Source organism: Homo sapiens, chromosome 21 (genome assembly GCF_000001405.40).
Source record: "Homo sapiens chromosome 21, GRCh38.p14 Primary Assembly".
Taxonomy (NCBI): Eukaryota; Metazoa; Chordata; class Mammalia; order Primates; family Hominidae; genus Homo; species Homo sapiens.
The window spans coordinates 42,931,993-42,944,403 of NC_000021.9; the positions used below are offsets into that span (position 1 = coordinate 42,931,993).

Genomic DNA, 12,411 nt, shown 5'->3' on the forward strand with positions numbered 1-12,411 from the left:
TTTTATACTCAGAAAAAGAAAGAGAAGCGAAACTAAAGGCAGGTAGCCCGGTGCCTAGGAAGCAGACCCGAAACCAGGCCTGGGCCTGCCTGACCTAAGCCTGGTAGTTAAAATTCGACCCCTGACCTAGGAACTGATGTTATCTATAGATTCCAGACATTGTGTGGAAGGACATTGTGAAACCTCCAGTTCTGTTCTTTTTCACTCTGACCACCGGTGCTCGCAGCCCCTGTCACATACCCCCTGGCTTTCTCAATTGATCACGACCCTCTCACACGGACCCCCTTAGAGTTGTGAGCCCTTAAAAGGGACAGAAGTTGAGCACCCAAGGAGCTCGGATTTTAAGACGCTAGCGTGCCCATGCTCCCAGCTGATTACAGCCACTCCCTTCACTATCTTGGTGTCTGAGGGGTTTTGTCCACGGCTCGTCCTGCTACATTTCTTGGTTCCCTGACCGGGAAGTGAGGTGATTAATGGACAGTCGAGGCAGCTCCTTAGGTGGCTTTAGCCTGCCCTGTGGAACATCCCTGCGGGGGACTCCAACCAGCTGGAGCGACACGGATCCTGAGAGTGCTCCCGGGTAGGCATTTGCCCCGGTGGGACGCCCCCCAGAGCAGTGTGTGGCAGGCTCCCATGGAGGATCAATGCAGTGGCTGAACACCGGGAAGGAACTGGCACCTGGAGTCCAGACATCTGAAACTTGGTAAGACTGGTCTTTGGAACTTGCCCACTCCATTTGAGTGGAAGCGTGGCCTGATCACCCACGGCGTGCCTGTACAGGCACTTTGGTTTTGGTTTTGACTTGGTTTGAATTGCTTGACAGGACTGGTCTTGGGAACTTGCCCACTCCATTTGAGTGGAAGGGTGGCCTGATCACCCACAGTGTGCCTGTACCAGCACTTTGGTTTTTGTTTTTGACTTGACTTAGATTGCTTGATACTTTGGTTTTGGTTTTGACCTGGCTTGGATTTCTGGATACTCTGATTTTGGTTTTGATTTTGGTTTGGTGTAAACTGCAAAAGTGTGTGTGTGCCCTTTTTACCTGTTCTTTGTTTTGTGGTGTGCGTGTGGTGTGAGCGTGGTGTTTTGTCTTGAAGAAGCATGGGTGAGAAACAAATAAGCCCACCCTACTAGGAACTATATTGAAAATTTTCAAGAAAGGATTTGAGGGAGATTACGGTGTTACTATGACACCAGGAAATCTTAGAACTTTGTGTGAAATAGACCGGCCAGCATTAGAGGTAGGTTGGCCATCAGAAAGAAGCTTGGACACGGCCCTTGTTTCAAAGGTACGGCACAAAGTAACTTGTAAGCCAGGGCACCCAGACCAGTTTCTGTACATAGACACTTAGTCACAGCTGGTTTTAGACCCCTTCCCCCCAACAGTAGTTAAGAGAGACAGAAAGTCAAAGAGAGAAGAAAAAGAGAAAGAGAGAAATATACAAGTAGTTAAGAAAAAAAACAGTATACCCTATTTCTTTAAAAGCCAAGGTAAATTTAAAACCTATAATTGATAATTAAAGGTATTCTCCATAAGCCGGAAACACTCTAATACCACTTTGTTGTCAGTGTAAACAAGGGCGTATCCCGAAAGCATTGAGGCCTTCCTATCAAAAATCCTTAACCCAGTAACCCGTGGATGGCCCAGATGCATTCAATCTGTAGCGGCAGCTGCTTTGCTAACAGAAAAAAAAGTAAAAAAAAAAAAAAAAAAGGCAGTTGCAGTTTTAACCCAGACTGTAGGGCCCCTGCCAAGGCCAGTGGCCTATCTCTCAAAACAACTAGATGGGGTTTCCAAAGGCTGGCCCCCAAGTCTAAGGGCCCTGGCAGCAATGGCCCTGTTAGCACAAGAAGCAGATAAGCTAACTCTTAGGCAAAACCTAAAGTCCCCCCATACTGTGGTGACTTTAATAAATACCAAAGGACATCATTAGCTAATGAATGCTAGACTAACTAGATACCAAAGCTTGCTCTGTGAAAATCCCCGCATAAGCATCGAAGTTTGCAACACCCTAAGCCCCGCCACCTTGCTCCTGGTATCAGAGAGCCCAGTTAAACATAACTGTGTAGAAGTGTTGGACTCAGTTTATTCTAGGGGGCCCAACCTCCGAGACCATCCTTAAACATCAGTAGACTGGGAGCTGTACGTGGATGGGAGCAGCTTCGCCAACTCCTGCAAAGTAACTCTGAAGAAGACGACAAGCCCTGCTCCAGTCACACCCGGAAGCTGACTGGTCCACACACGGCCGAAGCATGAGACAACTCATCGCGGGACTCATTTTCCTTAAAATTTGGACTTGTACAGTAAGGACTTCAACTGACCTTCCTTAGACTGAGGACTGTTCCCAGTATATACATCAAGTCACTAAGGTAGGACAAAAGATTGCTACAGTCCTGTTATTTTATGGTTATTATAAGTGTACCGGGACTCTAAAAGAAACTTGTTTGTATAATGCTATTCTATCCAAGGTATGTAGCTCAGGAAATAACCAACCTGATGCCTGTTATGACCCATTTTAAGCCTCCCATGATCACAGTTTTTAGAATAAAATTAAGGACTGGTCATTTTCTAGGCGACGCAAGTAAAGTAACAGCTAAGACAGAAGAAAGATGGGTCCCCAAGCATATAACCCTAAAACTTAATGCTTGTGCCACTATCAATAGCAATCGGCATAGGATAAGATGTGGTTCTTTAAATTGAAAAAAAAAAGTTACACGGCAGGAAATAAGTATATCTGCCATGAATTAAGCTCATGTGCAACTGTGTGTAATTACTGGTCTTGTGTCATCTGGACTACTTGGAAAAAGGATGAAAAAATCCTGTTTAGCTCCAAAAAGGAGAAGGCAGCCCCGCCTGTATGAGTGGAAGCTGCAACCCCTTAAAATTAGTAATTACAAATCCCTTAAACCCAAGGTAGAAAAAAAGAGAACACATATCTCTGGGCATGGATAGAAAAGGACTAGATCCTAGAGTAAATATCGTAGTAAAAGAGGAGGTTCATAAACTCTCTCTAGAACCAGTATTTCAGACTTTCTATGATGAACTAAATGTGCCAGTACCAGAGACTCCAGGAAAAACCAGAAATCATTTTTGCAATTAGCCAAGCATGTAGCCCAGTCTCTAAATGTCACTTCATGTTATGTTTGTGGAGAAACTGTAATAGGAGATCAATGGCCATAAGAAGCCTGAGAATTAGTGCCTACAGACCCAGTTCCTGATGAATTCCCGGCCCAAAAGAAATCACCTTGATCATTTCTAGGTTCTAAAAGTCTCAATTATTAGAAAATATTGCATAGTTTAAAAAAGGAAAGAATTCACTCATTCTGTAGGATGACTTAGTTGCCTTGGACAAAAACTGTATAATGGTACCACAAAAACAGTTACATGTGGAGTTCAAGCCATACAGATAAAAATCCATTCAGTAAATTTCCAAAGTTGCTGACTGTTTGGGCCCCCCCAGAATCCCACTGGGGCTGGAGGCCCCCACTGGGCTATACTAGATATGTAGACATCCAGCCCATGCTAAGCTGCCTGACCAGTGGACAGGTAGTTGTGTTATTGGCACTATTAAACCATCTTTCTTCCTACTGCCCATAAGAACAGGTGAACTCCTGGGCTTCCCTGTCTATGCCTCCTGCAAAAAGTGAAACATAGCCATAGATAATTAAAAAGATGATGAATGGCCTCCTAAAAAAATTATACAATACTCATGATTGTGGGCGCCTGTAGTCCCAGCTACTCAGGAGGCTGAGGCAGGAGAATGGCGTGAACCCGGGAGGCGGAGCTTGCAGTGAGCCGAGATCACACCACTGCACTCCAGCCTGGGTGACAGAGCGAGACTCCGTCTCAAAAAAAAAAAAAAAAAAAATTATACGATACTATAGGCCTGCCACTTAGACATAACACAGGTCATGGGGATACCGGACCCCCATTTACATGCTCAACGAAATCATACAGTTGCAAGCTGTTTTAGAAATCATCACTAATAAAACCGGTCAAGCCTTGACTGTTCTGGCCCAGCAAGAAACTCGGAGAAGAACTGCTATCTATCAAAATACACTGGCTAGCAGCTACTTGCCATCGATCAATAGATCGACTACTTGCTAGCAGGCGAAAGAGAGGTCTACAAGAAATTTAACCTTACTAATTACTGTGTACACATAGATAATTAAAGACAAGTAGTTAAAGACATAGTTAGAAATATGACAAAACTGGCACATGTGCCCTTGCAAGTGTAACACGGATTCGGCCCTGGAGCCAGGTGGTTCCCAGCACTAGAAGGATTTAAAACTCTTATAATAGGAGTTATAATAGTAACAGAAACCTGCTTACTGCTCCCTTATTTGCTACCTGTACCTCTTCAAATGATAAAAAGCTTCATCGCTACCTTAGTTCACCAAAATGCATCAGCACAAGTGTACTATATGAATCACTAGCAATCTATTGTACAATGTAATGCCCAACCTTGTTCTTACTAACCCTGTTCTTAGACTCTCCCTTTCCTTTACTCACCTAGCCTCATTTCCACCTGAATGGACTCTCCCTTAGCTGAGAGAGCCAGACAGACTCCATCTTGGCTCTTTCCCTGGCAGCCCCTTCCTCAAGGACTTAACTTGTGCAAGCTGACTCCCAGCACATCCAAGAATGCAGTTAACTGATAAGATACTGTGGCGAGCTATATCCGCAGTTCCCAGGAATTCGTCTGATTGATAACGCCCAAAGCCAAGACTATCATCTTGTAATAGTCTTAAAGCCCCTGCACCTGGAACTGTTTACTTTCCTGTAACCATTTATCCTTTTAACTTTTTTGCCTACTTTACTTCTGTAAAATTGTTTTAACTAGACCCCCCCTCCCCTTTCTAAACCAAAGTATAAAAGAAAATCTAGCCCCTTCTTCGGGGCCAAGAGAACTTTGAGCATTAGCCATCTCTTGGCCGCAGGCTAAATAAACGGACTCTTAATTCGTCTCAAAGTGTGGCGTTTTCTCTAACTCGCTCAGGTACAACAACAAGAAGACATAAGTGGCAAAGATAAGAGTGAGAACTCCCACTAATAAAAAGTGAGAGTCTCAAAGCAGGGGAATGAGGTAAGAGAGAGACCCTCTCATATTGTTTTATATTGTTCTATACTCAGAAAAAGAGAAGTGAAACTAAAGGCAGGTAGCCCGGCGCCTAGGAAGCAGACCCGAAACCAGGCCTGGGCCTGCCTGACCTAAGCCTGGTAGTTAAAATTCGACCCCTGACCTAGGAACTGATGTTATCTATAGATTCCAGACATTGTGTGGAAGGACATTGTGAAACCTCCCGTTCTGTTCTTTTTCACTCTGACCACCGGTGCTCGCAGCCCCCGTCACATACCCCCTGGCTTGCTCAATCGATCACGACCCTCTCACACGGACCCCCTTAGAGTTGTGAGCCCTTAAAAGGGACAGAAGTTGAGCACTGAGGAGCTCGGATTTTAAGACGCTAGCCTGCCCATGCTCCCAGCTGATTACAGCCACTCCCTTCACTATCTTGGTGTCTGAGGGGTTTTGTCCACAGCTCATCCTGCTAAAACAGCTCACTACAATCTCAAACTCCTGAGCTCCAGTGATTCTCCTGCCTGTGAAAGGAAAACAAATCTTGCCCCTGCCCCCACCCCAAATCACTAAGCTAAAGGGAAAAGTGAAGCTGGAAACTGCTTAGGGCCAACCTGCCTCCCATTCTATTCAAAGTCACCCCTCTGCTCACTGAGGTAAATGCATGTCTGATGGCCTCCTTTGAAAAGACTAATCAGAAACTCAAAAGAATGCAACCATTTGTCTGTCTCCTACCTGTGACCTGCAAGCCCCCTCCCCGCTTCCTGTCTTCCTGCCTTTGCTTCAGGTTGTCCTGCCTTCCAGACCGAACCAATGTACTTCTTACCTATATTGATTGATGTCTCACGTCTCCCTAAAATGTATAAAACCAAACTGTGCCCCGACCACCCTGGGCACGTGTTGTCAGGACCTCCTGAAGCTGTGTCGCGGGTGCGTACTCAACCTTCGCAAAATAAACTTTCTAAATTAACTGAGGCCTGCCTCAAATTTTCAAGGTTCCCGTGCCTTAGCCTCCCGAGTAACTGGGACTACAGGCACGTGCCACCACGCCCGACTAATTTTGTTGTTGTTGAGACAGAGTCTAGCTATATTGCCCAGGCTGGTCTCCAACTGCTGGGCTCAAGTGATCTTCCTGCCTCTGCCTCCCAAAGCGCTGGGATTACAGCCACGAGCCACCATGCCCGGCCTTCTTTTTCTCTTTCCAGCATTGGCTTTGAAATCTTATGAAATCCAAGCGGATGGGAGCCTAAGCTAACGAGTATGTCTTGATGGTTTTAGTTCATCAGAACCCTTGCCAAGACTTTTATTTTTAAATGTACGGCTTAAAATATATCATCCTCGGCCCTGAGCCAATGAGAGGAAGCCAAGGTAAAACACTCTCTTCTCCAGGACATATGGAAAGTCGCTGCTGCCGGAGTAAGGGAGAAATTCTAGAAAGGACGTTCTAGTGCAACAGGCAAAGTTTCATGGCACCGACAGCTATTTTCCAGGAAAGAAGCTTTAAACTATGGAGTTTATGGAAAAAAAGAAAGGGGGGAAAAGACATTTCTGCAAACTGACCTAAGCCCTGGGAATCTGAACCTTCCTATCTGAGGAAAGGGAGGGGGGACTCCGAGGGCCTCTGCAGGACACAGGTGCAATGTTTACCTGCTGCTGTCAGTGAGGATCCTCTGCATGGAGGAGCCCTTCCTTGGCCTGAGTTGTACTTAAAAGCAGGCACTTGTCTTTCATTTTTTTGAGACAGGGTCTCACTCTGTCCCCCAGGCTGGAGTGCAGTGGCGTGACCATGGCTCACTGCAACCTCCACCTCCCGGGTTCAAGCGATTCTCCCACCTCAGCCTCCCAAGTAGATGGGACCACAGGCGTGCACCACCACGCCCAGCTCATTTTTGTATTTTTTGCTAGAGATAGGGTTTCACCATCTTGGCCAGACTGGTCACAAACTCTTGACCTCAAGTGATCTTCCTACCTCAGCTTCCCAAAGTGCTGAGATTTCAGGCGTGAGCCACCGCGCCAGCCCAGGCTGTTGTCTTTCTCATGGCTTTGAGTTTCCACCCTTCCTCCCTTTTCCTTGTGCCACTGAGCACTTTAAAAATCCTAATTGTGTCACCAGACGGGTTGCAAACTAAGGCATCTACTTGCGGGAGTCAGCCTAAGCCAGCTCATGGGGCTTGAAGTTTTCTTTGGTTTTTTGTTTCTTGTTTTTTTTTTTTTTTTTTTTTTTTTTGAGACGGAATTTTGCTCTTATTGCCGAGGCTGGAGTGCAATGGTGCGATCTCAGCTCACTGCAACCTCTGCCTCCCGGGTTCAAGCGATTCTCCTGCTTCAGCCTCCCGAGTAGCTGGGATTACAAGCATGCGCCATCAAGCTTGGCTGATTTTTTTGTATTTTTAGTAGAGATGGGATTTCTCCATGTTGGCCAGGCTGGTCTTGAACTCCCGACCTCAGGTGATCCACCCACCTCGGCCTCCCAAAGTGCTGGGATTGCAGGCGTGAGCCACCGCCCCCGGTCACAGTATTTTTAAGGTGTATTTTCCAGCATCTTTTGATGCTCTTCATACTTTTTTCAACCTTTCAGTTATTTAAGTGCATCATTCTCTTTCCACAATCTCAGCACCCTGAGGGTTTCCGCTTCTCTTCTGCCCCTTTGGTGAATGCTCTATTTATGATTCTTCTTGTAAAACTGAACACGTTGGGTGGCTCTTCCACTCAGCCCAGCTGGAGCTACACTGCCTAGAGGCCAGGGTGATCCTGGGATGTCACAAGCGCAGTGAAGGGACCCTTATGTTACAGGAAAGGGGTCCAGATCCAGACCCCAAAAGAGGGTTCTTAGATCTCGTGCCAAAAAGAATTCAGGGCCAGTCTGTAAAGCGAAACCAAGTTTATTAAGAAAGTAAAGGAATAAGGGAATGGCTACTCCAAAGGCGGAATAGGAATACGACTAGGAAACGGCATGCAGTGCTACTAGATAGTCAAAGTTTCAGATTTTTTAATTTATTGTTGGGATTGGGGTGTCGTTAGAAAAAAGTATGAAAAGAGACGGTTAGCAGTGCAATTGAAGACATGTTAGGTTAATATATAATGTATGAGTCTGTGTAACGGATAGTTTTTATTCATCATAAAATTCTCAAAAGACTCACAGATGTGTGGCCCTTGCAGCTGTTCTTCCCTTGCTAACAGCGTTAGGCTCTGACTCAGAGGAGTTTTGTGCCAAAGAATTCTGGCAGCGTCTACAGTTCTTGTGAAATTCCCAGTGAGGAAATCGTTCACTGTGAGCAGGGGCGATGATGACAAGACGATCCAGGGGATGGGGAAGGAGCCCAGGAAGAAAGAATACAGAGCCCCGGGCATGTGAAATGTATCAGCCTCAAAATTCTTATCTTTCTTTACATCTTTCTATTTACAAAGTCTTGTTTTTGTTTTTGTTTGAGATGGAGTTTCACTCTGTCGCCCAGGCTGGAGTGCAGTGGCACTATCTTGGCTCACCACAACCTCCGCCTCCCAGCTTCAAGCACTTCTCCTGCCTCAGCCTCCCGAGTAGCTGGGATTACAGGCACGCGCCACCACACCTGGCTAATTTTGTATTTTTAGCAGAGATGGGGTTTCTCCATGTTGGTCAGGCTGGTCTCAAACTCCCGACTTCAGGTGATTGCCAGCCTCGGCCTCCCAAAGTGCTGGAATTACAGGTGTGAGCCACCACACCCGACCCTGTTTTTGTTTTTTGACATGCAGTCTCACTGTGTCACCGAAGCTGGAGTGCAATGGTATGATGCTGGCTCACTGCAGCTTCCACCTCCCAGGTTCAAGGGATTCTCCTGCCTCAGCCTCCCCAGTAGCTGGGACTACAGGTGCCCGCCACCACAACCAGCTAATATTTGTATTTTTAGTAGAGATGGGGCTTCACCATGTTGGCCAGGCTGGTCTCAAACTCCTAACCTGAGGTGATCCACCTGCCTTGGCCTCCCAAAGTGCTGAGATTACATGTGTGAGCCACCGCACCCAGCCCAAAGTCTGTTTTTCTTGGCGGGGGTTGGCAGTCAGGGAGCAAATCAGAGTGGCCTATGCACAAAAGGTTGAGAACAGAACTGTGATTTGGAGAGGGAATTCTCCAGCCAGCGTGTCACAAAGCCGCTCACCTGCTCGTGTGAGTGTCTGAATGCACGTGTTTGAGTGTCAGGGGCGTGTGAACCACAGCAACTCAATCTTGAATAGGGGCTGGGTAAAGTGAGGCTGAGACCTCCCGGGGCTGCATTCCCAGATGGTTAAGGCATTCTAAGTCACAAGATGAGATAGGAAGTTCGCACAAGACACTGGTCATAAAGACCTTGCTGATAAAACAGGTTGCAGTAAAGAAGCCGGCTAGGGCCGGGCGCGGTGGCTCATGCCTATAATCCCAGCACTTTGGGAGCCCAAGGCAGGCGGATCACCTGAGGTCAGGAGTTCGAGACCAGCCTGACCAACATGGAGAAACCCTGTCTCTACTAAAAAGTACAAAATTAGCCGGGTGTGGCGGTGCATGCCAGTAGTCCCAGCTACTCGGGAGACTGAAGCAGGAGAATTGCTTGATCCCGGGAGGCGGAGGTTGTGGTGGGCCGAGATCGCACTATTGCACTTCAGCCTGGGCAACAAGAGTGAAACTGTCTCACACACACACAAAAAGTTATAGGTAGGACAATTTCCAGGTATGGTTGTTTTGCAATCAGGGCATCTCAGCGGGTCCACCAAATAGGAGGTTTGTCTCTGTGCCTGGATGGTTTCATTACTCATTCATGAGACAAAGAGCGGGAAGGTAGAGGGTCTGGGTGTGGCTTTGTCACAGGTAAACACTGGTGCCGGATGGGCACGGTGGCTCAAGCCTATAATCTTAGCACTTTGGAAGGTGGAGGCAGGAGGATCCGTTGAGCCCAGGAATTTGAGACCAGCCTGCACAACATGGCGAGATCTCATCTCTACAAAAATTTAAAAGTTAACCAGGCATGGTGGTGCATGCCTGTAATTCCAGCTACTCTGGAGGCTGAGGTGGGAAGATTGACCCAGCCCAGGAAGCGGAGGTTGCAGTGAGCTATGATTGCACCATTGCACTCCAGCCTGGGCAACGGGGCGAGACCCTGTCTCAAAAACAAAAACAAAATGTAGGATATAATAAATTCTTCTTCAAAGGTTTTAGCCTGTAAATTGTTTAGTACAATGAGTTCTGAGATCCTCTCCAAAGAACCAGTGCATCAGTATGTTCAGCTCCCCTGTTCTTTGTTCTTCATTTTAAAATTTAATTTCCTCTTTCCCTTCGTCTCCTAGCCCCTAGTTTCAGTGAACAGTCCCCTCCTAGCCTCTATCACCTGCTCTGACCTGAGTCATTCTGAGTCACCTGTTTTGTAACCATCCTTCCCGCCAAACTACTCACCCCGCCACTCCAGCTCGTACCCCTGCTCTCTTTAAAACAGCCAACTGGAATTAGCTTAGACGGTGCGGTCCAACCCTAGCTAATATGGGAATGACACAGCAGTAGGGGCTGCATGCATCAGGGATAAGAACCCCTTCCCTTCCCTTTTCAGATTTGCTCTCACCATTGCTCCACCCTCGAGGTGCACCCTCCTATAGAAGTAACATTGCCTTGCTGAGAAAATTAAATTTATGTTTGAGTGCTATTTCTTTGTGGCACCAAAAATTTATTTCTAACAAAAAGAAAGAAAAAACCAACACTGGTGCCATCCTAGAGTTCTGGGGAGTCATGAGCAAGTGCACACTGCGAGTCTTACTGAAGTCACAGGGGAGGGGTGGGACACAGTGTGGGGATCTCTCCAGGGCTCTGCTCTCTGGTGCACAGGGCTCAGGGAAGGCCCGGCATTTGGCAGTTGCCCAGTGACTCGGGGAAAAGAGGGATGGACCACACTCAGAACCCTGCTTAGGGCAGCAGAAGGATGTAGGCACTGTCCCTGGTACCCAGGCAGCAGGCTGGGCATTCCTTGGTCAATGTTTGCCAGGCACATGATAACCTAAGTGTGCAGGTGATGTTCAAGCCAGGTCAGGACATGGGGAACCACCTGGCTTCTCTCCAGTGCTTGCCATGATGTCCCAAATGAAGGTGATTTTTTTTTCTTTTTTTTGAGACTAGGTCTCATTCTTTTGCCCAGGCTGCAGTGCAGTGTCAAGATCACGGCTCACTGCAACCTCTGCCTCCTGGGCTCAAATGATCTGCCCACATCAGCCTCCTGAGTAGCTGGGACCACAGGCGCCCACCACCATGGCCGGCTAATTTTTTGTACTTTTAGTAAAGACGGGCTTTCACCATGTTAGCCAGGATGGTCTCGATCTCCTGACCTCGTGATCCACCTGCCTCGGCCTCCCAAAGTGCTGGGATTACAGGCCTGAGCCACTGCACCCAGCCAAGTGCTGGGAACCATTTTCTAAACATGGCCCCAGGATCAAATCCATTCCACACTTGCATGGGCACATGTGCCAGTTTTGTCGTATCTCTAACTATGTCTTCAACTGCTTGCCCTTCATTATCTATGTGTACGCAGCAATTAGTAAGGTTAAATTTCCTACAGACCTTTCCTTCAGCTGCTAGCAAGTAGTTGAGAGCTAATCTATTTTGACATATAGCATTTCTCATCTGAGCTTCTTGCCAGGCCACAATAGTCAAGGCTCTGCTGGTTTTATTAATGTTTATTTTTAAGACAGCTTGTAACTGTATGATTCGGTTGATCATGTAAATGGGGGTCCGGTATCCCCACGAGCCGTCTTGTGCCTAAGTAGCAGGACTATAATGTTGTATGATTCTCTCAGGGGGCCATTTATCATTTTTTCAATTTCTTATGGCTACGATTCTCTTTTCGTGGGAAGAATAGACAGGGAAGCCCAGGAGTTCGCCTGTTTTTTTGGGCAGTAGGAAGAAAGATGGTTTAATAGTACCAATAACACAACTACCTGCCTACTGGTCAGGTAATTTGGCGTAAGCTCTGTGCCTACATATCCAGTATAATCCAGTGGGGGCTGTCCAGTCCTGGTGGGACTCCGGGTGGGTCCACACAGTTTGCAACTTTGGGAATTTACTAAATGGATTTCTCTCTGTGTGATTTGAACTGGAGTTCACTGGAGTCCACCAAGTGACTGTTTTTGTGGTATCATTATACAGTTTCTGTCTCCGACAACTAAGTCGTCCTCTGGGGTGAGTGAATTCTCTTCCTTCTCTAGCTATGCAATATTGTCTAATAATTGAGGCTTTTAGGACCAGAAATTATCAGGGTGATTCTTTTGAGCCAGGAATTCATCAGGAACTGGGTCTGTAGGTACTAATTCTCGGGCTTCCCATGGCCATTGATCTCTTATTACA

The 12,411-nt window shown here is 46.8% G+C and overlaps 1 long non-coding RNA gene across 1 annotated transcript, besides 3 other annotated features; it reads left to right on the forward strand.

The window, feature by feature from the left end:
* The first annotated feature begins 234 nt into the window (after window positions 1–234).
* Window positions 235–4,973, forward strand: LOC124905022 (uncharacterized). The gene is made up of 2 exons (XR_007067881.1): window positions 235–703; window positions 2,086–4,973. It is a non-coding gene; the product is annotated as an uncharacterized LOC124905022 (long non-coding RNA).
* Window positions 4,777–5,435: an enhancer, noted in NCBI's record as "NANOG-H3K27ac-H3K4me1 hESC enhancer chr21:44356879-44357537 (GRCh37/hg19 assembly coordinates)". NCBI's record gives its function as "activates a minimal SCP1, AML or CMV promoter by ChIP-STARR-seq in primed H9 embryonic stem cells {active_cell/tissue: H9 hESC(primed)}" and the evidence as "EXISTENCE:reporter gene assay evidence [ECO:0000049][PMID:30033119]".
* Window positions 5,436–6,093: an enhancer, noted in NCBI's record as "OCT4-NANOG-H3K27ac-H3K4me1 hESC enhancer chr21:44357538-44358195 (GRCh37/hg19 assembly coordinates)". NCBI's record gives its function as "activates a minimal SCP1, AML or CMV promoter by ChIP-STARR-seq in naive H9 embryonic stem cells {active_cell/tissue: H9 hESC(naive)}" and the evidence as "EXISTENCE:reporter gene assay evidence [ECO:0000049][PMID:30033119]".
* Window positions 6,094–6,752: an enhancer, noted in NCBI's record as "NANOG-H3K27ac-H3K4me1 hESC enhancer chr21:44358196-44358854 (GRCh37/hg19 assembly coordinates)". NCBI's record gives its function as "activates a minimal SCP1, AML or CMV promoter by ChIP-STARR-seq in naive H9 embryonic stem cells {active_cell/tissue: H9 hESC(naive)}" and the evidence as "EXISTENCE:reporter gene assay evidence [ECO:0000049][PMID:30033119]".